This window comes from Homo sapiens, chromosome 7, assembly GCF_000001405.40.
Source record: "Homo sapiens chromosome 7, GRCh38.p14 Primary Assembly".
In the NCBI taxonomy this organism is placed as follows: Eukaryota; Metazoa; Chordata; class Mammalia; order Primates; family Hominidae; genus Homo; species Homo sapiens.
The window spans coordinates 148,366,862-148,390,971 of record NC_000007.14 but is presented as its reverse complement, the minus strand read 5'-3'; the positions used below and the strand labels follow the sequence as shown (position 1 = coordinate 148,390,971).

The 24,110-nt window shown below is 43.6% G+C and overlaps 1 protein-coding gene, 1 long non-coding RNA gene and 1 other non-coding gene across 5 annotated transcripts in view, besides 2 other annotated features; 1 reads left to right on the top strand and 2 right to left on the bottom strand.

The window, feature by feature from the left end:
* LOC105375554 (uncharacterized) overlaps positions 1-9,334 on the top strand; it is a 55,130-nt gene extending 45,796 nt beyond the window's left edge. For 2 of the 3 annotated variants that reach the window (XR_928094.2, XR_007060576.1), the window contains exon 4: positions 1,153-4,436. This is a non-coding gene — a long non-coding RNA (uncharacterized LOC105375554). Of the gene's footprint in view, positions 1-1,152; positions 4,437-9,301 lie in introns of those variants that run through there. The other variant, XR_928093.3, reaches the window with a different exon arrangement.
* The window catches only part of CNTNAP2 (contactin associated protein 2), a 2,304,198-nt gene that overhangs the window by 30,027 nt on the left and 2,250,061 nt on the right, over positions 1-24,110 (bottom strand). The window contains exon 22 of the mRNA NM_014141.6: positions 7,084-7,323. Coding sequence (NP_054860.1) covers positions 7,084-7,323 — 240 coding nt within the window. The remainder of the gene's footprint in view (positions 1-7,083; positions 7,324-24,110) is intronic.
* Positions 1,113-1,327, bottom strand: LOC124901859 (small nucleolar RNA U3). Its single transcript, XR_007060686.1, has one exon. It is a non-coding gene; the product is annotated as a small nucleolar RNA U3 (small nucleolar RNA).
* Positions 6,666-7,167: an enhancer, noted in NCBI's record as "H3K4me1 hESC enhancer chr7:148080897-148081398 (GRCh37/hg19 assembly coordinates)". NCBI's record gives its function as "activates a minimal SCP1, AML or CMV promoter by ChIP-STARR-seq in naive H9 embryonic stem cells {active_cell/tissue: H9 hESC(naive)}" and the evidence as "EXISTENCE:reporter gene assay evidence [ECO:0000049][PMID:30033119]".
* Positions 7,168-7,669: an enhancer, noted in NCBI's record as "H3K4me1 hESC enhancer chr7:148080395-148080896 (GRCh37/hg19 assembly coordinates)". NCBI's record gives its function as "activates a minimal SCP1, AML or CMV promoter by ChIP-STARR-seq in naive H9 embryonic stem cells {active_cell/tissue: H9 hESC(naive)}" and the evidence as "EXISTENCE:reporter gene assay evidence [ECO:0000049][PMID:30033119]".

Here is a 24,110-nt window from a genome sequence, read left to right as displayed (position 1 = left end):
TGGCGACCCCCTATCTAGGCTACATGCTGCACTGCTCCAGAAGCCAGAGACTGCACTACAAATGACATCTGTTATAGTTGTGCAGTGCACAACCTGACCAACATAAATGTCCCTCATTTTAGAAAACACTGATAGAGCCCAAAGGACATTGGAGAGGTAACAAATAGTGTTTGTTATAGAAGTGTAACAGTAGTGTTACAGATGAGAAAAAGAATCTTATTACTAAAGCCAGCATACCTTAGAACCTATTTTCTGTTTTTATCATTTACTATGATCTCAGACAGTAGAAAGACAGGTATGGGAGCAGAAAGATCACCAGACCTATGGGTAGATGTCTTCAATTCTAATTTCCATTCTAACACCAAGTTCCTGCAAAACAAACATCCTGGTATAGGTATGCAAACATCCTGGTATAGGTATGGATTGAGTAGCCCTGGTTTGCCAAGATCCCTTTAACCATAAGGCCATATGATTCCTTACTCTTCACAGCAAGGCACCTGCTGTATTTTCAGAAAAGCACAGCCCTCATTTTAAAGCAGCATCTTTTTCTATCTTTCAGAGTAGGTTAGCAGCCAATTCAAAACACAGTAATAATTTCACATCTTCCTCATAATGAGGTGCTTTCACTGGAGCCACCGAGTCCTGCCCCACACTGCAAATTTATTGTTCATTTGTTTGTTTCAAGTCTGCTTTCCAGTTGCAAACAGGCAGATCAGTTCTCCTCAAGTTTAGGTAAAAACATCTCCTCTGAGTGAGCTTCCTTATAAAATGGCCGGAGAGCCTGGTCTCTTTGCAAGCTTGATGGTACAGCCTTTACTATTTGTGATTTAACCACCTAACGGCTTTATTGTTTTTCATAAACCATGTTTTGGGCAGTATTTGGGTATTCAGTTTTTTCTTTTGGTAACCTTATTTTGATGCACTTACCAAAGGGACCCTTCTTTCATTTGGTGAGTGATTCTTGACCTTGGTCACACACTGGACACTCCTGGGGAGGGGGGTTTACATCACACACACCTGTGTCCCTCCTATCCCCCCGAGGGTCTGATTTGGTCCGTCAGGGGTTTAGTACTAGATATTGGGATTTTTCTTTTTAAAAAATAACCATGAAGACCCTTCAGATGGCTTCCTTTCCCTTTCACTCTCCCAAAGGAAGAGAAGAGTGATCATCAGCAGCAAAAGGCAATTGCAGAGAAGCACCACCAAGAGCCAGCTTCATGCTCAGGAGTGAATGCTGAGCCGCCTCCTCGTGGTTTCCGGTGCTCCACATGTTCAGAGAAACTTCTCTGGTAAGAAACTATAGAAATGGTGCATGGAAGTGTTACTAGAAAGGGTTCCTGATCCAAACCCCAAGAGAGGGTTCTTGGATCTCACGCAAGATCCAAGAATTTAGGGTGCATCCATAGAGTAAAGTGAAAGCAAGTTTATTAGTGTATTAGTTTGTTTTCATGCTGCTAATAAACACATACCTGAGACTGGGTAATTTATACAGGAAAGAGGTTTAATGGACTCCCAGTTCCACACGGCTGGCGAGGCCTCACAATCATGGTGGAAGGCAAGGAGGAGCAAGTCATGTCTTACATGGATGGCAGCAGGCAAAGAGAGAGCTTGTGCAGGGAAACTCCCCTTTATAAAACCATCAGATCTTGTGAGACTTATTCACTGTCACGACAACAGCATGGAAAGACCTGCCCCCATGATTCAATTACCTCCCACCAGGTCCCTCCCACAACACATGGGAATTCAAGATGAGATTTGGGTGGGGACATAGTCAAACTGTATCAATTGGGAAAGTAAAGGAATAAAAGAATAGGAGGAGCCAAGATGGCTGAATAGGAACAGCTCCAGTCTACAGCTCCCAGCATGAGCGACGCAGAAGATGGGTGATTTCTGCATTTCCATCTGAGCTTTGAAAAGAGCAGTGGTTCTCCCAGCACGCAGCTGGAGATCTGAGAATGGGCAGACTGCCTCCTCAAGTGGGTCTCTGACCCCTGACCCCTGAGCAGCCTAACTGGGAGGCACCCCCCAGTAGGGGCAGACTGACACTTCACATGGCCGGGTACTCCTCTGAGACAAAACTTCCAGAGGAACGATCAGATGGCAGCATTCGCAGTTCACGAAAAACCGCTGTTCTGCAAACACCGCTGCAGATACCCAGGCAAACAGGGTCTGGAGTGGACCTCTAGCAAACTCCAACAGACCTGCAGCTGAGGGTCCTGTCTGTTAGAAGGAAAACTAACAAACAGAAAGGACAACCACACCAAAAACCCATCTGTACATCACCATCATCAAAGACCAAAAGTAGATAAAACCACAAAGATAGGGAAAAAACAGAGCAGAAAAACTGGAAACTCTAAAAAGCAGAGCACCTCTCCTCCTCCACTATTCACAATTGCAAAGACTTGGAACCAACCCAAATGTCCAACAATGATAGACTGGATTAAGAAAATGTGGCACATATACACCATGGACTACTGTGCAGCCATAAAAAATGATGAGTTCATGTCCTTTCTAGGGACATGGATGAAATTGGAAATCATCATTCTCAGTAAACTATCGCAAGGACAAAAAACCAAACACCGCATGTTCTCACTCATAGGTGGGAATTGAACAATGAGAACACATGGACACAGGAAGGGGAACATCACACTCTGGGGACTATTGTGGGGTGGGGGGAGGGGGGAGGGATAGCACTGGGAGATATACCTAATGCTAGATGATGAGTTAGTGGGTGCAGCGTACCAGCATGGCACATGTATACATATGTAACTAACCTGCACAATGTGCACATGTACCCTAAAACTTAAAGTATAATAATAAAACAAAAAGGAATAAAAGAATAGCTACACCACAGACAGAGCAGCCCCAAGGGCTGCTGGTTGCCCATTTTTATGGTTATTTCTTGATTATATGCTAAACAAGGGGTGGATCATTCATGCCTCCCCTTTTTTTAGGCCCTATAGGGTAACTTCCTGACATTGCTATGGCATTTATAAGCTGTCATGGTGCTGATGGGAGTGTAGCAGTGAGGATGACCAGAAGTCAATCTCATTGCCATCTTGGTTTTGATGGTTTTAGCTGGCTTCTTTACTGCAACCAGTTTTCAGTAGGTCTCAGCTTTATTTTACCCAGCCCCTATTCGAGATGGAGTTGCTCTGGTTCAGACACCTCTGACAGAAGTATAGTCTTGACATCAGGGTTTTAAAAAGCTCCCCAGGTAGTTTTGGGTTTTAAAAAGCTCCCCAGGTAGTTTTAAAGTGCTTCCCAGATTGAGAAGCACTATACAAGATTAGAGCTTTTAAATTGCAGTGGTAAGTCACCTGGGAACCATGCTAAAAAACACGAATGCTGATTTAGTCAGTATGGGGAGGGGCCTGAGATTCTGCATTTCTAAAAAAGCTTCCAGGAGACCCATTGCTGCTTGTTGAGGAATAAACTTCCAAGGCACCAGATGAGATAATCTACTTCCAAATGTCCTCTAGTCAAGCCAGGACTCACGAGCTCTCATGTTATTTTCTTTCCATCCTAACCCTACACAGACTCAAGTACCTCACGTTATTTACAGGTAGAAAGGCATTTTTGTGTATATACTGTTTTGTTTTTAAATATCTGATAGCAAGGAATCTTATTCTAGTCAAACATGAAATATTACCAGAAAAGTGCAAAACCGTAAAGTCCAAATTCAGAATGATGACCTTAGGCTCACGAAACCAGAGTGCAATTGCTGATGTGAGGGATGCACTTAGAACCCGAGTTGGTATGGAACTCATTTTAAACTGAAGCCACTGGGGATTCAATAGGTGCAGAAAGAAGCCTTCTTGGTGCTTCCTTTATCTGACAAAAAGCAGAGACTTCTGGAAAAATGAGGCTGCCATACCTCCCTCTTACGGGTGGCTTTTACTCCCAGGAAGATGATCAAGAAACCTACCGTAAGTCCTCTCTCCAGGGAAGTTTTATGGCCATGAATGAGATACAGAGATCACTCAGGCCTGCATGAACAAGCACTATCACAAACTCTTTATCTCTCATTTGTTCTTCTAGAAATCCATCTGTTCCTCCTATAGAGGCCTTTTCCCCCACTGCCTCTTTTCCCTACTAAGCTGGGCATATAAGTTTCTAGCTTTAACTACTTACTGAGTTTCTTCTTTTTCAAGCTCCTATATGCATATAAATAAGGTCCCCCTGCCCACCTGTTAATCTGTCTTTTATCAGCTTAATTTGCAGGCCCCCAGGTACTGAACTTAAGAGGACAGAGGAAAAGTTTTTCCTCCCTGACACTGAGCAACCAGAGGCTGCTGTTAAGTAACCTTCCCTCATTTCTACGTCTGTCCTCTGCCCCTTCCAGCCCCTCAACCCACATTGTCTCTCATGTTCCTATTCACCTAAAAGAGGAAAATCATATTATTTCAATAAACCTCTGCCTTATAGTTTGTAAACTGTTTTCTGTTGTTTTTTTGTTTTGTTTTGAGACAGAGTCTTGCAGTGGCACCATCTCAGCTCAGTGCAACCTCTGCCTCCCAAGTTCAAGCGATTCTCCTGCCTCAGCCTCCTGAGGAGCTGGGATTACAGGCGTGCGCCACCACGCCCAGCTAATTTTTGTATTTTTAGTAGAGACGGGCTTTCACCGTGTTGGTCAGGCTGGTCTCGAACTCCTGACCTCATGATCCACCCACCTCAGCCTCCCAAAATGCTGGGATTACAGATGTGAGCCACCGAGCCCGGTCAACTGTTTTCTGTCCTTGTAATTGGTATAATGACAATTGCATTAATACTTCATCTGCTGGACACTGGGTAAGAACTCTCCAAGTGTAAGTGGAAATTTTTCTGCAAATGGATCTCATGTTACATAGCACAGGCCTACCATAATATCAGAATTACAGAATTTGGATTTGAACATCAAATACAGATATGTTCCCTATATACATTTTCATAAATCAATCAAAAGAATCCTGTAATCCTAGCACTCTGTAATCCTAGCACTTTGGGAGGCCTAGGCGGGTGGATCACCTGAGGTTAGGAGTCCAAGACCAGTTTGGCCAACATGGTGAAATCCTGTCTCTACAAAAATTAAGTGGGCATGATGGCGGGTGCCTGTAATCCCAGCTACTCAGGAGGCTGAGGCAGGAGAATCGCTTAAACCCAGGAGGCAGAGGTTGCAATGGTGCCATTGTACTCCAGCATGGGCAACTGAGTGAGACTCTGTCTGTCTCCAAAAAAAAAAAAAAAAAAAAAAAACCTGTCACACTCAAAGCATGATTTTTTTAAAGTAAAGGAACAAAAACTCTTTGGTCCCTACAGTCATATCTCACAGATCTTAACAAACAAGTTCCTAATTAAGTAATAATACATAAAACTCATATTGGCCCAAGGTAGGATCTAGATGTTTTAGAAACTAGTCTATTGGCCCTGACTCAGACCACAGGTGCTCACAGCCTCAGGCAGTGGGTCCCTTTGACAGCGGAAGGACTCCTGCCTTGCAAAGATCATTCACGGTATTTGTCTACTCGGGCATTTGGAGGAATTTATCTGAGAGATCTCTGTTCCTCTGTGGCCCTGACATGTCTTTTCTCCTCTTGTATTTTCACTCTTACTTTTCTTCTTTCAGCATTAGGAATGCTTTCCTTTGTTCAAGCCAGCCCACTGTGTAATCTTAACAACATTCATAAAAGGGAATTCTTCATACGTGCCCTTAGCTCACAGCGCCCCGCGTCAAGTTCTAGGAATCCATGTGTGAGGAACAAAGAGGATTGTTTCGTCTGTAAATGGGTTATTCTGACAACAGGGCAATTTTGGCTTCTCTCTAAGCTTCACAAAGCTTTGCAGCACAGCCCTGGCAAGGAATCACAATGACAATGGCTGCACTGAAGCCACACACTCCATGTGCAGGGCCGGAACATGATTAAAGCAATCAAATGCACGAGGTTTAGAGAATGAACTGTTACAAATTACAAGTTTGCAGGGGGAGAGGATTTGGAAGTCTTTACTCAAGGTTCAAGCATTATAGCAAATTGTGTCTAATATAATAATATTAGATTATTAATATTATTGTAGCTAAACTTTAACGCTTGTGATAAAACACGTCAGATTTAAACACATCACTTTAAATAGAATTCCAAGGGTTAGGTCTTATCTCCATTTAGGAAGTGGGGAAACTGAGGAATGAGGTTATGAAAACTGCCTAAGGTTAATCTGCTGGTGAGAGGCAGTGATGGTGCTGGAATCCAGGCCTCCTAGCTGTTGCTTCCTGCCTCATCTTCTTCCTCTTTTTAGCTTCAGCAACATCACATGTTGCCTGGAGACCCACTGAATGTTGGATTCGGAGGTCACTTAGAGGTTACACTCCCCTCCCCTTCTTCACCTTATGGGTGAAAAAGCAGAGGCTTGGGCAGGTCACTTGAGTTGCCCAAGGCCAATTTAGGTGGAGCTAGGAGTACGACCTAAGTCTCCTGAGATACAGCTTAATAGGCTGTCTCCCACCCAGGGTTATGTGTATACTCTTTTCATCCAATTAATTTTTCAGCCAACAGCTACATCCTTTCATTTGAGCCCTGTGCTTTCAAATTACATGTCTTCCCACTCAAAGAAGTGGGACTAAATCCACAGAGTTTTGCAAGCTTAAAGGCACCTCTTAAAGATCTGGAAGCCACCAGTATTATTCATATAAATACAGAGCCAGGAGACGGATCTCTATATTGCTTTAGGTAAATCTCTTCTTAAATTAAAACACAGATTATGTTACAGCAAGTCATTAAGAGTCATAAGAGGCAAAAGTGAGACAGTGAATTGATCAAATCACCCACAGTCATGGCGCAGACATCAGTTTAGGCAAGTCATCATTTAACCTAATTGAAGAGTTAATACTTCCTACATTCTTTACCTTCAACTTATTTATTTCTGGCCCTGAGTATTTCAGATGTGCTAAGTGCTGCCCTGAGAACTCCGTACTCACAACGTTCCTTTGCCCTTTCTTAATCCTCCAATGACATTACCAGTGAGGTTCTGTTATTAAATCCATTCCATAGTCCCAAGAGACTGAGGTTTAAAGAAATGAAGCAACCTGCCTGAGGTTGCTGAAGACTTTACCTGAATCCAGGTGATCCAGGTGCCAGGGGTCGGTGGCGGACGACATGGGGGAGAGGGTCAGCGGCGAGGCCCCGCAGTTGGACTCCACCAGCTCGCCCTGGATGTGGACGTGAGCCGAGGCGTTTGTCTGCCTCAAGGCGGCCTTGAGAGGGGCGATCTGGTTGAACTGGACTCTGGAGAGGCAACCAGTGAATCCTGGGGTGTTGTATTTGTGAATCTCTTGGTCAATTTTCCCTGTTTCTAAAAGAAAAAAAGAAATGAAAATGTTACTTGACTCACCATAGTCCAGCTGTACAACATACCTGTCTTTGAATGCTTGTGTCCAAAGCTTACATTTAGGTTTCAGTTTAAGATGTTACATTGTTTTGGATGAAATATTAATGGGTCGATAAGATTTAGGGCTGCATACTTGACTTTAAAGGAACCTTGTGTTAACAGAAAATACGGTAGGGTGAAAATAAGACTATATGTGATAAAATACATTTCTCAGTACCTTCTGGCTACTTCAGACGCTGCCGAAACTCACAACAGTGACTTGGTTCTGATTGATTTTTCTCCTTATCTTTTCTGATGCTTCCCTGACCCTCTTAACAAATTGAACAAAGCAGCCCTGCTCTGCCCTCCTGGCAAAATATGGTTCTGTTTTAGATCTCTTACTTATTTTCTTCTTCAGAATTCTTTAAAAAAAAAAAAAAAAAAAGAACAAGAATTCTAGTAGCCTGTACGTGAACATCTCCTTTCTTCAAAATCCAATCCCCTTGGAATTCTGAGATTTACAGAATCCCCGGCTAGTGTCTGATGGAGGTTTTGGCAGTCAGGAAACTTTCCCAACCCAATCAATCACAAACAACACATGCCTTGGTGAATCTCACCATCTCCCCACTACCTGTAGGCTCAACATCTTCCCAAACTAACTCAGCTCAGAGGTGAGACTGAGTAGAGGCATTTCCAAGGTAACAAGTGCAATGTACCCACACGTTGTTATACCAGTTAAATCAATGGCCCTCTGTTCCAAGTTTTAGAAACTAACAGAAACAAATGTTGAAAGAGTCCTTAAATGCTTAAGAGCCCTTAGCTAGTGGGCCAGGCGGACTGACCTCAGAGCCTTTTAACCACTACTGGGAACTGTGTGAGAAAGATAATTCCAGCGGCAGCACTGCGATTGCTCTGAGCAAGTGCCGCATCAACCCCTCATGTCCCTGCCGACTCCCTGGGCTCACACAAAGATTCTTTTGCCCCGGCGCTGAGGCAGGGTGCTGTGGGGGACATGGATAAAGTGCCTTGTTCTTCTCCAGCATCTCTCTACGCTTGCTTGCCCTTTGCTGAAGCCGTTCTGTTATCTATTGTGAACCAGTGTTAGTTTTGTCTCCTCTTTTAGAGCTGGGTAGAAAACTTGTGACTCCCGCTCCATTTCATAGGGTCCCTGACAGTTTTCGCAACTTTGAGGAGGGCAGGTTTCCCTATGACACCACAGAAAATCAATTGTTTCAAAGCCGTATCTGTCTGCGGGGTCTCAATTTAACATGGAGTCTACACTTCTTAAAGAGCTGTCTTCCCCTTGGTATCTCCTTCTGAGGTGGCCTCAAGGGAGAGAGCCTGGGGCACGGGGTTCCGATGGTGGAACAGGGAGAGAAACCACGGGTGGCAGCAGAGGCTCCCGGGCCCAGGCCTGTGGGGCTGTGAGCATTGGCAGAAGCGTCCACTGAGCAGCCAGAAGCTGGGGCTGGATGGCAGGAATGAGCCCTGGCAAATGGCCTGCTCTCACTTTTCCATTCTCTTTGGGCCTCTTTCACTCTCTTCTTTAGCTTTCTCCTTTCTGTGCCTTCTCCCTATTGGGGAAAATTCCCAGTGTTTCAACTGTTGTTTCTTTCCTGTAAGGCAGCAGGGTCACAAAAAGGAGGATTCTGATGCCCTGGAGAACAGAACCAGTACTTCCAAAACCGGAGTGTGTTCCACATCTAGTTGATGTGCCTCTTTCCTAGAGACCCTTGGCTGGGACCAATTCCCCTGGGGGGGGGCCAATGTGCAGTAAGTAGATGCTCTGGAGTTTGCAGGACCTGATGGTTCCAACTCAGGGCCATGTGATAATAATATTGATACAATGGTAGAGAAAGGTGGCAGAGAAAATCTAGGCAGAAAGGGGCGGGTCCCTGTCAAACCCTCACCCTCAAGCCAGAAACTGCAGCCCAAAGTGAGAACTTACATCCCTGTTTTCCAGCTCAAATGTTGCCTTTTCCAAAACCACCCATGGGCCTGCCCCCTGACATCCTGTGCCTATAAAAACCCCATACTCAGCTGGCAGAGAGAAGAGAAGCAGCTGGACGTTGGTGACTATGGTTAGACATTGGAGAGAAGCAGCTTCACTTCAGAGGGACAGCTTGACACGTAACATCAGAGAAGAATCTGGCCAGAGATGGCTGGACTTCAGGAGAAGATTACCTTCCCTCTCCATCCCCTTTTCAACTTCCCTTCCTGCTGAGAGCCACTTTCATCGGCAATAAAAATCCCCTACATTTGTCATCCTTCAATTTGTGTGATGTCATTTCTCCTGGATGTGGGACAAGAGCTCGGATGCTGCTAGTGTGGCTACAAAAGGCTGTCACACTTGCCCTTTGTACTCACTGGCAGAAGGCAGCCAGCTTACGTGAAAAGCCACTGAGCTGTTGATACTTAGGCTGTCTGGGGACAGCAGAACTAAAAGCACTGTAACATGCCCTCTGGGGCTTCAGGGGTTGCAGGCACCACCCCTAGATGCTGCCACGGAGCCTGCACAGAGTTCACTCCTGTTGGCGCTCAAAAGCGCTCACCCTGGCTCCTGCACCCACTCACCCGCGTGCTTACCCCTGCAAGGGGTGGAGCACAGTGGGTCCAAGTGAGTGGCGTTTGCTCCTGGCAGTACCTAAGTGGCTGGCTGGTTTCAGCATTCATGCACTCCAGTTCCTGCCTCATTCACATGCGTGCTTCCTCCCATGAGGAGTTGAAAGCTGTGGGCTGGGTAATTGAGGGCACCCCTGTTGCAAGTCCCACAAAGCGGTCAGGGAAGCATCCTGCTTCAATATTAGAGCACAGACCAAGGGCAGTACATGATGGGGGGCACTGTGCTTAGTACTTATTATGCAGTATCCCATTAAGTCTCCTGGTAACCCTCTGAGCTAAATAGGATTACCCGCCAAGTGACAGATGAGGGAAACGAGGCTTAGAGAAGTTAAGGCTTTGCCAATGAATAAACATTTATGTTTCATATAAAAAAAAAAGAAGTCAAATATTTTGCATCAGTCTCAATTTCTCTTTGAAAAATAGACTATATTGTTTTATATTCATGTAGACTTTTGATATTTCTAGTCAGGGACCCCATAGAAACGGTAGAGTGAGGTTTTCAGAAAAAATGTAAATGGTTGTTAAAACTGCTTTGAGATTGTGTTTCATTAGCGGCTGAGCCAACAATTTGATTTTCAAAAATGTGGTGAACTGATGTCAAATCTTCATTAGCATCATTGATAGCACCACAAAGTTATAGAAATGCCTGTCTGGAATAAGATTCCATATTTCTTAAGAACATCTACAAATGACAGTATAGCTATCACTTTTTTGAATTTATTACAAGTAAAGTATGTTACTCTATAATTGATTAGACTGGTCTCTACTGAAACCAAATATTAAAATATCATTTACTGTAAGAAACAACGTTCTGCCTGGAGGTGTCTTGGGTAAGGTGTTATTTGTGGGGGAAACTTGCTTTAAAAATGCAAATTTTAGAAATGCAGTACAATCACTTTAAAATGAGATTCTCAAGTGGCAATCAGTACGTTAATGTCTTATATTCATAACGATATGGATTACAGAAAATAGTTCACTTAAAACACTGACACAATTCCGGGTAATACGTTAAAATGAAATGCTCATGACAGTCCTTTTAAGGAAATGCAGCAACTCCATTTGCGATGCATTAGCATGCTTTCCCGCTCCTTGTTCAGTTACTGAATGCCAAGTGAGAGGCGGGAGTGTTGTGAGAAATGAAAGAGAAAAGGGCACCTGAGCAGGAAACACTGGGAGAATAAAGCCAGCTCCACGGAGGACAGAGCTGTGCTTGGGGCCTCGTGTACATGCTTGAGCTCCTTTTCAGCGATTGGATAAGCATTTATTTATTTGGACAGGGATTTATTTATTTATTATTTATGAGACAGGGTCTTACTCTGTCATCCAGGCTGGAGTGCAAGGCACAATCTCAGCTCACTGCAGCCTCAACCTCCCGGGCTCAAGCAATCCTCCCACCTCAGCCTCTTTGAGTAGCTGGAACCACACTCGTGTGCTACCATGCCCGACTAATTTTTTTTTTTAGTATTTTTTTGTAGAGGCGGGGTTTTGTTATGTTACCCAGGTTGGTCCCAAACAACTAGGCTCAAGCGATCCACCCACCTCGGCCTCCCAGAGTGCTGGGATTATAGGCATGAGCCACTGTGCCCAGCCTGGATAAGCATTTAGATGTGACTTCTCAAAGGAGATTTCTTCTTTTCCTTTGAGATTATTTAAATGCACCTATATCTTCTTCTTGTGTATTCCATGGGATCTATTCACCAGATGATTTTTGTTAGGTTTTATATCTTATAGTTTTCTATCAATGTTCCTTTTTGGGGAGGGCGATGTGATATTATGAGATACAAAGAATCACTGTCAACTTCATTTTCTACTTTTTATGAAACAGGCAGAAGATTTTAGGGCATCAGTGAGACTTAATTTAAGACTTTTGATAAGTATGTACTGTGTGCTCCCCAGTGTGCTAGGGATTGTGGAAGTCACCCTTCATAGAATCTGTGGGGTCAACACAGATGGCCAAACCTGGTTCCAGCCCTGACACAGCATATGGTTGCTCTGCAGAGACTGTAGTACAACTGGCCCCAAAGCACTGCCTACCATTCTGTTCCTTCCCTCTGTTCTGGGGTGAAGTATGTCGCACTGGTGGCACTGGGGGTCTTTAGGTAATTCACAGACTGGGAGCTAAATAACATCCAGTCTTATTCCTTCCCCGATTCCCTTTCAATTTCTCAGAGTCTCAGGCCGGCTCAGTGTGGGGCTGGACTATCTTTATTATGGTGCCAATACTTGCTATTTTCCCTTTTTAACAAAGAGAGGTCAGACCTCAGACCTGGATGCTTCGGTGGGCAACAGTGCTGAGTTTCATTATATTTTTATATTACGTATTTTTAGCACCACCGTATCGTGACAGCAAGCGGTACTGGCATTTCATTTCATGGTAGTATTGCAAAATTTCTCTTTAACATAAACTTTTTAACATAAATTTATTTAAGTAAAAATAGTGAGTCCATTTAAAGGAAAATGTTAAGTAAACAACAGTAAAGGAGGCCACTAGAAATGGTAAAAATGTCATCAGAAATGGCAAAAATCGTGACATTGGTCCTCAAATGACTCTTGTTTGGGGAACATTGTTGTGGAGGAGTTTGACGTCTCTCTAAGTCCCTGGATGTTCTGCCTTAGAGCCTCTGTACTATTCAGGTGTAATCCACCCTCTCCCCTCACACTTAGTACCAGTCACTATCCATCACTTTAGAACACCAGAGACCCCCGCTGAGTGGGGCTTCCTCCTGGATTCTGCTCCCGGCTCTACCTAACTGGACCAGGTGTGTTCCTGCTCTCTTCGGATGGGCCAGAGGCCCGCAACTGTGCCTTTCCTAGAATTAAAGTTTTCTTGACAGCTGGGACTAAATGTCACTTCTCTTTGTGTTCCCCCAAAATAATGCCTTGGACAAAGTAATCACCAGTGACTGTAGGAATGAATATACAGATGCTTTTCAACGTATAATGGGGTTACCTCCCCATACACCCATCGTAAGGTGGGAATATTGTAAATCAAAAATGCATTAAATACACGTAACCTACTGAACATCATAGCATAGCCCAGCCTACCTTAAACATACTCAGAACACTTACATTAGTCTACAGTTCAGTAAAGTCATCTAACACACCTATTTTATAATAAAGTGTTGAAAGTGGAAAACAGAATGGTTGTATGGGTATTCAAAGTACGGTTTCTACTGAACGCATATCACTTTTGAACCATGGTAAAGTTGAAAACTTCTAAGTGGAACCATAAGTCAGGGACGGTCTATGACTGAAACCATCTATTCAGCAGTCTGTCATTCATAGTTTGGTGTGTGGGAGGGGATCAAGTACTATGGAAATTAGAACAATCATAGTTAGCTATAGTCAAAGTTTGTTTTTCAGCTTCATAGTGTAAACAGGTGCAGAACATAACCAGGAAAGAGGAGGGGGAGGTCTTCAGCGTATTCAGGAATTCAGCAGTGTATTCAGAACCAGTAGATCATTATATGTTATTTCTAGCAGTACTATTACCTGAAAATCTGTCCGTCTCATTAAAAATGGATTTGTCTTTCAAAACGTTGTTGTATTGCTCTAAAACTGACACCCAGAGGAACTGATAAATTTCTCTTCTATGAAGGAAGGCAGGACTTAACACTGAACACTCATTGCTGTATAAACCCTCCACAGGCCTCACACGTAGAACAGTGGTTCGACGGTACCTTGTGGAATAAGTAGAAAGTCGGTTTGAAATCACTGCCTGGGTGGTTTTAAATACTCCTTGGAAAATCAGACTGAAGTACAACAGGTGAGTGGTCACCTGATGTACACTTGAAAACATGGCCAGGCACTGCTGGGCCAGCACCTGAAGCTCCCAGTGGCTCCCAGTGTCAGGGCTGGTCATCTGGGCCTCTTGGAGAGAGAGAAATAGAATTTGCATTGATCGGGTAGGATTCCGTTTTTCCATTCTAGTCCCATTTGGCCGTAGGTGAATGAACGGGAGTCTAAATGGTTAGTGGAATAAATCAATGGGAAGTAACCATAACAACAACAAAAAGCCAAGAGCATTCATCTAAAAAAAGCAACATAAAATCCGATAAGCCTCATTCCTCAGTTCGAACGTGATCAAATGGTAAACATCAGGCAGGGCATGGAAATGCTGGCATCTAGGTTCCCTGTCAGCTCCTGCTCTAACAGAATGCAGTTTTTGATCAGTGATGTCTTGCTCATCAGCTGCCTTTCCAAAGAGGCACAGCCAGAATTAAATCTGGATCCATAATTGATGTATACGATTAGGTACTGTGACATTTTATTCATCCCTTAAATAAAGACATGAATGAAATTTCATTGTATTTATTAGATGCTTTTCTCTCTTATGAAGAAATATGCAGGACTAAAATATGCAGGTGTAATTTAAATAGTTCTTGACCTATGAAATGCACTAACTCAATTATGCAGAGGCAGAATGCTGGGAGAAGCAGAATCATTTTTCCTTCTAGTGTCTCTACCACATTTTGAATTTTAATTATTTTTAGAGACAGGGTCTCACTGTCAGCCAGGCAGGAATGCAGCGGTGTGATCATAGGCCTCGCTGTACCCTTGAACCCCTGGGCTCAAGTGATCCTTTCACCTTAGCCTCCTAAGTACCTGGGACTACAGGCGCACACCACCATGACTGGCTTGTTTTTAAAAATTTTCTGTAGATACAGGGTCTCATTATGTTGCCCAGGCTGGTCTCGAACTCCTGGCTTCAAGCAATCCTATCCCCCTCAGCCTCCCAAAGTGCTGGCGTTATAGATGGGAGCCACTGCACCTGGCCTCTGCTGCATTTTAACTCATAAATCTTTTTCTAAGGACTGATAACACAAAACTGGATTTTTTCTTTCCAGAGTCAACAATAAAAAGAAATGTCTTCATAGAGCCCACTGCACTATTTTGCAAAAAGATGAAGTATTACATTTTTATTTGTATCAATTTATCACAGCTCCTGAGCTTTTGGGGATACTAAATAGGTTGAAATTGTCACTCACGTTTCTTTTTTTCTTTTTTTTTTTGAGATGGAGTCTTGCTCTGTTACCCAGGCTGGAGTGCAGTGGCGCAATCTCGGCTCACTGCAACCTCCACCTCCCAGGTTCAAGCAATTCTCTGCATCAGCCTCCCGAATAGCTGAGATTACAGGCGCCCGCCACCATGTCTGGCTAATTTTTTTTTTTTTGTATTTTTAGTAGAGAGGGGGTTTCACCATCTTGGCCAGGTTGGTCTTGAACTCCTGACCTCGTGATCCACCTGCCTCGGCCTCCCAAAGTGTTGGGCCTGGTGTCATTCGCATTTCTAAAATCTAGACTGAAAACAAAAAACTTATGATTGCTAGTTAATCTTAGAATATAGTTGTAATGGCCGGGCATGGTGGCTTACGCCTGTAATCCCAGCACTTTGGGAGGCCGAGGCAGGTGGATCACGAGGTCAGGAGTTTGAGACCAGCCTGGCCAACATGGTGAAACCCCATCTCTACTAAAGATACAAAAAATTAGCTGGGCGTGGTGGTGGACGCCTGTAATCCCAGCTACTCGGGAGGCTGAGGCAAGAGAATCACTTGAACCTGGGAGGCAGAGGTTGCAGTGAGCCGAGATCACGGCATTGCGCTCAAGCCTGGGAAACAGGGCAAGACTCTGTCTCAAAAAAAATTGTATATATATAATATACTATATATATATAAAAATATATATATTTATATTTTATATTTATAGTTTATATATTTATATAGTTGTATATATACATATATGTAACTATATATAGTTTTATATATAGTATAACATACATATATACATAACTATACATATATAGTTGTAATTACACAGTACCAAAAACATTGACACAAAAGAGAATTTATGATCCCTTAAATGTTTCCCAAACACCAGACATTTGGAATGGGTAGGAGCACACATCTGATATGTGGATTTTCCACTTCTTTCCTGGATGTTTCAAGTTGTCAGATGTAAGATAGAAAGCCTGGAAGGTGCTGGTGCCCCATTCCTCAGCCTCAGGTGCCCTGTCACATGGCATGATTTTTTAGGGCTAAGAATAACAAGCTCTGCTGAAAGTAACAAGACCTTTCAGAATAATGGATGTACCTGTCACTCAAACCACAGAGCTGGGTGCTATGATTTACTTCATGGGAAATCAGGTCTGATTTGACTTCTTCGAATCCCAGTAAATTGAAGCTATATGTCCTGGCTATTTGCTGCTGGGAAACAGAACACTAATGTGCGTCCTGAGTTTCTCATGAGCTGGGAATGAACAGACCTGCTTCTTACTCATTGGAATGTTTCCACTTTTGCATTTTATCTTGATAGCAGCAGAAATAGAATCCTGTGTACGAAATTACCAACTGAAATGTAGTACAGAAAAATAATTTATCTCTGTGTGTGCTCCGCTTCTGCTAAAATGTTTTTTTGGCTTTGGAGAACCACGTTAAACTCTAGCCAACACCATACAAAAAAATGAGCTTCAGTTTTCAAGCTTTTCCTTAATTCCTCTCCAAGCCACTGGTAGGTATGCCGGCCAAGACTAGCAGAGGGTCATTTGAAACTAACTCTGGACAGCAGGAGAATTTGCGACAATGGGGAAAAAAGGGTAGAAAGGTGTTGACCTCATACATTTCACAAGCAGCATAACAAAGTGTAGGCTAGGAAAAGTGTGTTAGCAAATTTTTGTATTTCCAGATAATGTCAAGTTGAATGATTCAGTAAAACAGAAAGTAGTTCACTTTTTATTTTTCTTCCTTTGTTCTCAGTTGTATTATAATTCCTATCCCAGAAGGCCTCTAAAGCTATCTTACCCAAGAGAAGAAAAAAAAATCCTTTGAGGACTAAGATCGCATGAATGCATAAACATCACGAAATGGACCTGAGGTAGGGATTGAAAGCGATGGTTTCCCCAGGGCCATGAGCCAGTCAAGCACACGAAGAAACTGAGAGGGAGAACTGTTTCTGGAAAGTGTATTGGATGGTTCCCTTAACTGACGCTCCATGTCACATAATTAACACAAGAAAAAATTAGAATCTCGGGACCTTGCCATATAAAATGATGTTCAGAAAACAGAGCCTAATGCTTTGAGGCTGAACTTGAAGCTCCAGTGGATCATCACAAAATTTAAACCATACGATCGCAACCACCCTGGATGCCACCAAGGGACACAGTCCGGAGACCCACTGGGAGGCCTTTGGATACTTCTTCCTGTCAACACCTATTCTCACTGCTGAACCCCTAAAGCCAGTTCCTTTATTTTCAGATTGGGGTAATAGCCTCCTAGGTGGGAGAGCACTGAGAGAGGCCATCTAAATTTCAGCAAAGCATTTTAGTAAGTTTCTCATGACATTTTTGTGGTCAAGACAAATAGATATGGTCTCATTGTAATATGTTTGAGTAGTACAGTCAGGCACCACATAATGATGCTTTGGTCAAGGATGAACCACATGTAGGAGGGTGGTCCCAGGAGATTATAATGGAGCTGAAATTTTTCTATTGCCTGGCATTTATCATAATGTGCTTTTTATCATTATTTTAGAGTATACTTCTTTTTTGTTGTTGTTGTTTTTTGAGACTGAGTCTCGCTCTGTCGTCCAGGCTGGAGTGCAGTGGCACAATCTGAGCTACCACAACTTCCACCTACTGGGTTCAAGCGATTCTTGTGCCTCAGCCTCCCAAGTAGCTGGGATTATAGGCACCCGCCACCACACCTGGCTAATTTTTGTATTTTTAGTAGAGACGGGGTTTCACCACGTTGGCCAGGCTGGTCTCGAACTCCTGACCTCATGATCTGCTTGCCTCAGCCTCCCAAAGTCCTGGGATTACAGGTGTGAGCCACTGCACCTGGCCTACTTTTTTTTTATTTTTTATTTTTAAAAAGGGTAATTGTACAACAGCCTCAGGCAGGTCCTTCAGGAGCTATTCCAGAAGAAGGCATTGTTATCACAGGAGATGACAGCTCCATGTGTGTCACTGCCCCTGAAGACCTCCCAGTGTGACAAGGTGTGCAGGTGGAAGACAGTGGTATTGATGATCCTCACCCTGTGGAGGCCAAAGCAAATGTGTGCATTTGTGTCCTAGTTTTCAATAAAAAAGTCTTAAAAGTTAAAAACAAATTTTTAAATAGCAAAATCTTATAGAATACGCATATAAAAAGAAATATTTTTTACAGCTGTATAATGTGTTTGTGTTTTAATCTAAGTGTTAGACAAAAATATGAAAAAGTGAAAAAGTTTGAAAACATTAAGAAGTCTATAAAGTTAGAAAAGGTACAGTATGCTAAGGTTAATTTATTTTATTTATTTATTTATTTTGAGATGGAGTCTTCCTCTGCTGACCAGGATGGAGTGCATGCAGTGGCACAATCTCGGCTCACGGTAACCTCTGCCTCCTGGGTTCAAGCAATTCTCCTGCCTCAGCCTCCCGAGTAGCTGGGATTACAGGCATATGCCACCACACCAGGCTAATTTTTGTATTTTTAGTAGAGACGGGGTTTCACCATGTTGATCAGGCTGGTTTTTAACTCCTGACCTCAAGTGGTCTACCCTCCTCTGCCTCCCAAAGTGCTGGGATTACAGACATGAACCACTGCACCCAGCTGGTTAATTTATTATTAAAGAAAGAAAATTGTAAAAGGTAAATTTAATGTGGCCAAAGTGTCCAGTGCTTATAAAATCTACAGTAGTATAATGTCCTAGGCCTTCATATTCACTTACCACCCACTCACTCATCCAGAGCAACTTCCAGTCCTGCCAAGCTTCATTCCTGTTAGGTGTCCTATATAGGGGTACCAATTTTTACTTTTATTTTTTATTTATTTTTTTTGAGACGGAGTCTTGTTCTGTCCCCAGGCTGGAGTGCAGTGGTGTGATATTGACTCACTGCAACCTCCAACTCCCAGGTTCACGCGATGCTCCTGCCTCAGCCTCCCGAGTAGCTGGGACTACAGGCACACACCACCACACCCAGCTAATTTTTTTTGTATTTTTACTAGAGACGGGGTTTCACCATGCTGGCCAGGCTGGTCTCGATCTCCTGACCTTGTGATCCGCCTGCCTCGGCCTCCCAAAGTGCCGGGATTACAGGCATGAGCCACCACGCCCAGCCAATTTTTATCTTTTATATCATATTTTTACCATACTTTGTCTATGTTTAGTGAACAAATACCGTTGTGTTACCGTTGCCTACAGTATTGAGTGCAGTGGCGTGCTGCACATGTCTGCAGCCTGGGAGCAATGGGCTGTAGCACAGAGCCTGGGTGTGTAGAAGGCTGCACCTTCTGGGTTTGTGTAAGTGCACTCTGTGGTATTCGCATAATGATGAAATTGCTTAATGACACTCTTCTCAGAACGTATCCCTGTCGTTCAGTGATGCATGAGAGTATTTTAAAGGTAGATTAATCATGAGATGAACAGTGGTGGAATTTGATAAATAGGTAGAAATTGGCTTCAAGGAGAATTTTAGTGGTGATTCCAAGCCTACATTTAATCATTTTATTAACTTGGATAAAGACATCAATGGCACATTGATGAATGTGCCATATGGCATTTAGTAAAAAGGGATGGCTCCACTCAAGAGGACATTATCGTGAGCCAAAGGGACTCCGAGAGGCTGAAATGATTTCCCTAGATATAACTAAATACAGTTTAGCAGAAACGAATAACCAATTTCTATATTTGGAAATGCCATCGTGCCTTCCCCCACCCCAATCACCTTCAATACCAAATTGTATAGGACACACCTGGTAACTGCACGTAGCCTCCTCTCCCCCTCCTTTGTTGGGACAATGGGGCTGATAGAAGAAAACTGGATTTTTTTTTCCAGTTTTGTTTTCCAGCAACCCCTCAGGACTCTGGTATTTTTGTTAATTATTTGGGATTTAGGAATTAAGAGTGAGACCTGACTGAGTCATGAAAAGGATGGAGTCTATATTCCAATTTAGAAAGTGGTTTCTGAGACCATCCCCTGGGGTGGTCAGCATACCCCAGAGAGGTGATCAGTTCTGGACAGAGCATCTTGAGCAGGAAAGCAATAATAAACCGGGGTGTGTTTTGAGGATGGCACCATGCTTGAGACGGTGTCATGTGAAGCAGACTGGAAGGAACTGTGGATGCTGAATGTGGGGAAGAGAAGACTCTAGAAGCACACCGTCACTGCCTTCAGGTGTTGGAAAGGCCGGCACCAGGGAGAAGGCTGAGACTTGTTCTGTGGGGCATTAATGGAAGGATGCTCAACTGGATCTTATACTGAAAGCAAATATGAGATCAAGTCTGCCAGGGTAGGTGTGGAGAAAGTGGCCCTGTAAGCCAAGGGGCTATTGAGTTCAATCCTGGATGTCATTCCAGCTGGTGGGGTGCGGTGGAAACACCAGGGAAGGGCAGGGGTAGGGGGGGACCAGCCATGCAGGGGAGAAGGCAAGTCCTCAGACCCCTGTTCTGTGTGGCACTGTGCGGAAGAGGGGAAGGCTGCCTCACTTCACCCTGTGTGCCAGTCCTTTATCTAACTAAATCTCCACAGAAAATCCACAAGATGGGGTTGAATGACCTTTTGTTATCCAGAAAAGAAACAGCCTGAGGAGTAAAGTCACCTGACTGAGGTCACTCTGCTAGAAGGTGGGGCAGGGATTCAGCCCCCGGTGCTGTCCCTGACTCTCTTTCTGCGTGGAGGGATTCAGGCTCAGCCTCCAGGAACCGGAGACCAGAGCTCCCTATCTGGGACCCAGCCACTGAGACGTCAGGTCACAAAGATGGATAGAACCAGAGGCACTGGGGAGCCGGAGAGCTTTGGAAATGGGCATCTTTATGTCCTTCTGCCTCAGTCTAGAGCTGAGATTTGTGAAAGGGCCAAATCAGGGGTAGGAAGAGGGTGCAGTGTATCCTCCGAGGTGGGAGGAGGCCGGGCCATTTGACCATATCTTTCTCTTCAGAGTTCACTGTTCCCAAAGACACATTATATGTCATCCATTTTTATATAAATGGTGAGTTCCCAAATGGGATTTAAAGACAGCCTAGCAAATCTTTACATCCCTTGGAACTTAAAACAAAGCTTTTCCTTCACAGAATTCTAATCTCTCTTGAATAAGAGGCTACGAAACTGAGGGACATTATAATAACCTTCATTTAAAATTAGATTCTGGATGTTCTGGTGACTTAGCTGAAAACAGCTCAAATCAGCGAAAACCTTTACAAAGACTTTTCGAAAGTTGGAAGACATATCTGTACACACAGGGCGTAGAGCCGGACTTGGCCAGTATGTGCCTTCTGCCTCCTCCTGGCAATGCTTACCCCTTATTACTGTTATTTCTGAGACGTGAATGTTTTCTCATAGTGAATGTAGCAGTAATAGTAATAATAATAATAATAATAATAATAATAATAATAATGATAAAGAACAGCAACATTTCTCACAAACCCATTTCCTGAGTATTAGCAGATTTGCTACTGGGCCTTGGTTCCCCTTAGATCTTGGCTTAAATGAATGCTTAATAATGATAACAGAGGCTGGGTGCCATGTCTTATGTTGGTAATCCCAGCACTTTGGATCACTTGAGGCCAGGAGTTCGAGACCATCCTGGCCAACATGGCGAAACCCTGTCTCTACTAACAATGCAAAAATTAGCCAGGTGTAGTGGCACAAATTAGCCGGGTGTAGTGGCACAAATTAGCCAGGTGTAGTGGCACACCCCTGTAATTCCAGCTACTTGGGAGGTTGGGGCATGAGAATGGCTTGAACCTGGGAGGCGGAGGTTGCAGTGAGCCAAGATCACAGCACTGCGTTCCAGCCTGGGCAATAGAGGCACTCTGTCACAAAAGACAAAAAAAAAAAAAAAAAAAAAAAAAAAAAAGGGATTCAATTTTAATTAAAAAAAATATAAAAATATAATGGTAACAGCTAAAGATTCTTGGGGTTATTACCATGTATTAGATGTATGCTTAGCATTTGAAACACAATGTCTTATTAATGTTTGTGAGAGAAGAGAGACAGACCCTCTCATATTGTTTTATATTGTTCTATAATCAGAAAAGGAAAGAGAAGCGAAACTAAAGGCAGGTAGCCCAGTGCCTAGGAACCAGACCCGAAACCAGGCCTGGGCCCGCCTGACCTAAGCCTGGTAGTTAAAATTCGACCCCTGACCTAGCAACTGATGTTATCTATAGACTCCAGACATTGTATAGAAAGACACTGTGAAACTTCCTGGTCTGTTCTGTCTCAGTCTGACCACCGGTGCATGCAGCCCCTGTCACATACCCCCTGCTTGCTCAATAGATCACGACCCTCTCACACGGAACCCCCTTAGAGTTGTGAGCCCTTAAAAGGGACAGGAATTGCTCACTCGGGTAGCTTGGCTCTTGAGACAGGAGTCTTGCCGATGCTCCCGGCTGAATAAACCTCTTCCTTCTTTAACTTGGTGTCTGAGTTTTGTCTGCAATTCGTCCTGCTACATCTGCAGCACCTTGCTATGGCTGGTACAATTTTGGACCCATTCTGATTGTCGCTCACTGTAGTGAAGTAACTTGCCCAGAATCACATGAGCTAGGAAGTGCCAGTGCATAAAACCAGGAAATTTGCCCCCAAAACTCATGCTCTTAACCATCACTCTACCAGTTAAGACATTATCCAGATGCCTGGAGACCAGGGGAGGCCTCAGCTGGGAGCTACTTCTAGAAAGTTAAGAACTGCCTGGGGCTCTGCAGAACTCTCCCTGCATTTGCAGATTATACTTAATACCTAACTCAGTTGTAGCCGCCAGCAACCCCCACCCCTCAACTTGCAGATAATCCACTTTAACTGAAGATGTGTCCCCCTGCGAATTGGTAATTACTCCTTGTGGCACTGTCAGAGCTATTCAAAGGATAAGAGACAAGGAAGAACAAAGCTAATCTGAGCCAGGCACTGAAGCTGCAGTCGTCTCTTAGACACCTAAAGGGAGTGACTTCCATGGCTCAGATGTGGTGTAGAGGGCTGTTGATTTTCATTTTACTTTTAACAAAAGATGAGGGGCTCTATCTGAAATGTTTGCTTGGGGGATCTTAATTTTCAGCTCTGACAATGCTCGCTGTGTGCTTATTTTCTCAGCTGGGCACATTCTCTAGTCCTATCATTACCGTGACTCTTTTAACTGTCTGTACATGTTGAGGGGACTTCCATCTACACTTCAGGAGGTGCAAATTACAGTGGCTGTGGCACCTCGAAGAAAATACATTTTCTCGGTATGAGCAGTCATTTTCTCTTGGTGACATGTTGCGTACTTTGTTTCAGAACAGATGAGAGCTTAAAATATTTTATGGGGCGATCGCATTAATCTCGCCTCTAAAATATGTTATCATGACTCTTAGGCATCTTGGGGGAAATGAATCTGCCTAGAAAATATGGTTTTCTGGATAACAAGAGATCTAGTTCTTTTGGCATGAGCCCATTTCAGTATTTCCAGCTGAATATCTGTCTAGAATGCTTTTTTAAGGCAAAGCAGACGCCAAATCAGGGTCATGTGATGACTTTCACAGGCCCTAGGCACTTTTGCTTTCAAGGTTTTCTTCCTCCATTAAAAAAAAATCAAAAGTAATATTTTAGGACTGTGTTGGTATAAAGATGAATATAATGATATTATGTATTAACATATTATATATTAGAACATTTTTCCTTTGACTTAACAGTTCATTTTTTTCTTCTGATTTTAAATGTTATTAGAACACTTTTGTGGGTCCCTGGAAGTACTGTGGGCCTACTGAACCCCATGGATATGTTGGCCCCTGCCAAACATATGTGATGGTTTTTCTTTTCTTTTATTTTTTTTTTGAGACAGAGTCTTGTTCTGTCACCAGGCTGGAGTGCAGTGGCTTCATCTTGGCTCACTGCAATCTCTGCTTCCCAGGTTCAATCGATTCTCCTGCCTCAGCCTCCTGAGTAGCTGGGACTACAGGCATGCACCACCGCGCCCAGCTAATTTTTGTATTTTTAGTAGAGACAGGGCTTCACCATGTTGGCCAGAGTGGTCTCAATCTCTTCACCTCGTGATCCGCCTTCCTGGGCCTCCCAAAGTGTTGGGACTACAGGCGTGAGCCACCGCGCACAGCTGTGATGGTTTTTCTTAATGGCTTGAAGCTTGGCTGGGAATATTGTTTTGCCATGCTATGGAGACAGCTGGAAGTAGCCCTGGATTTGCA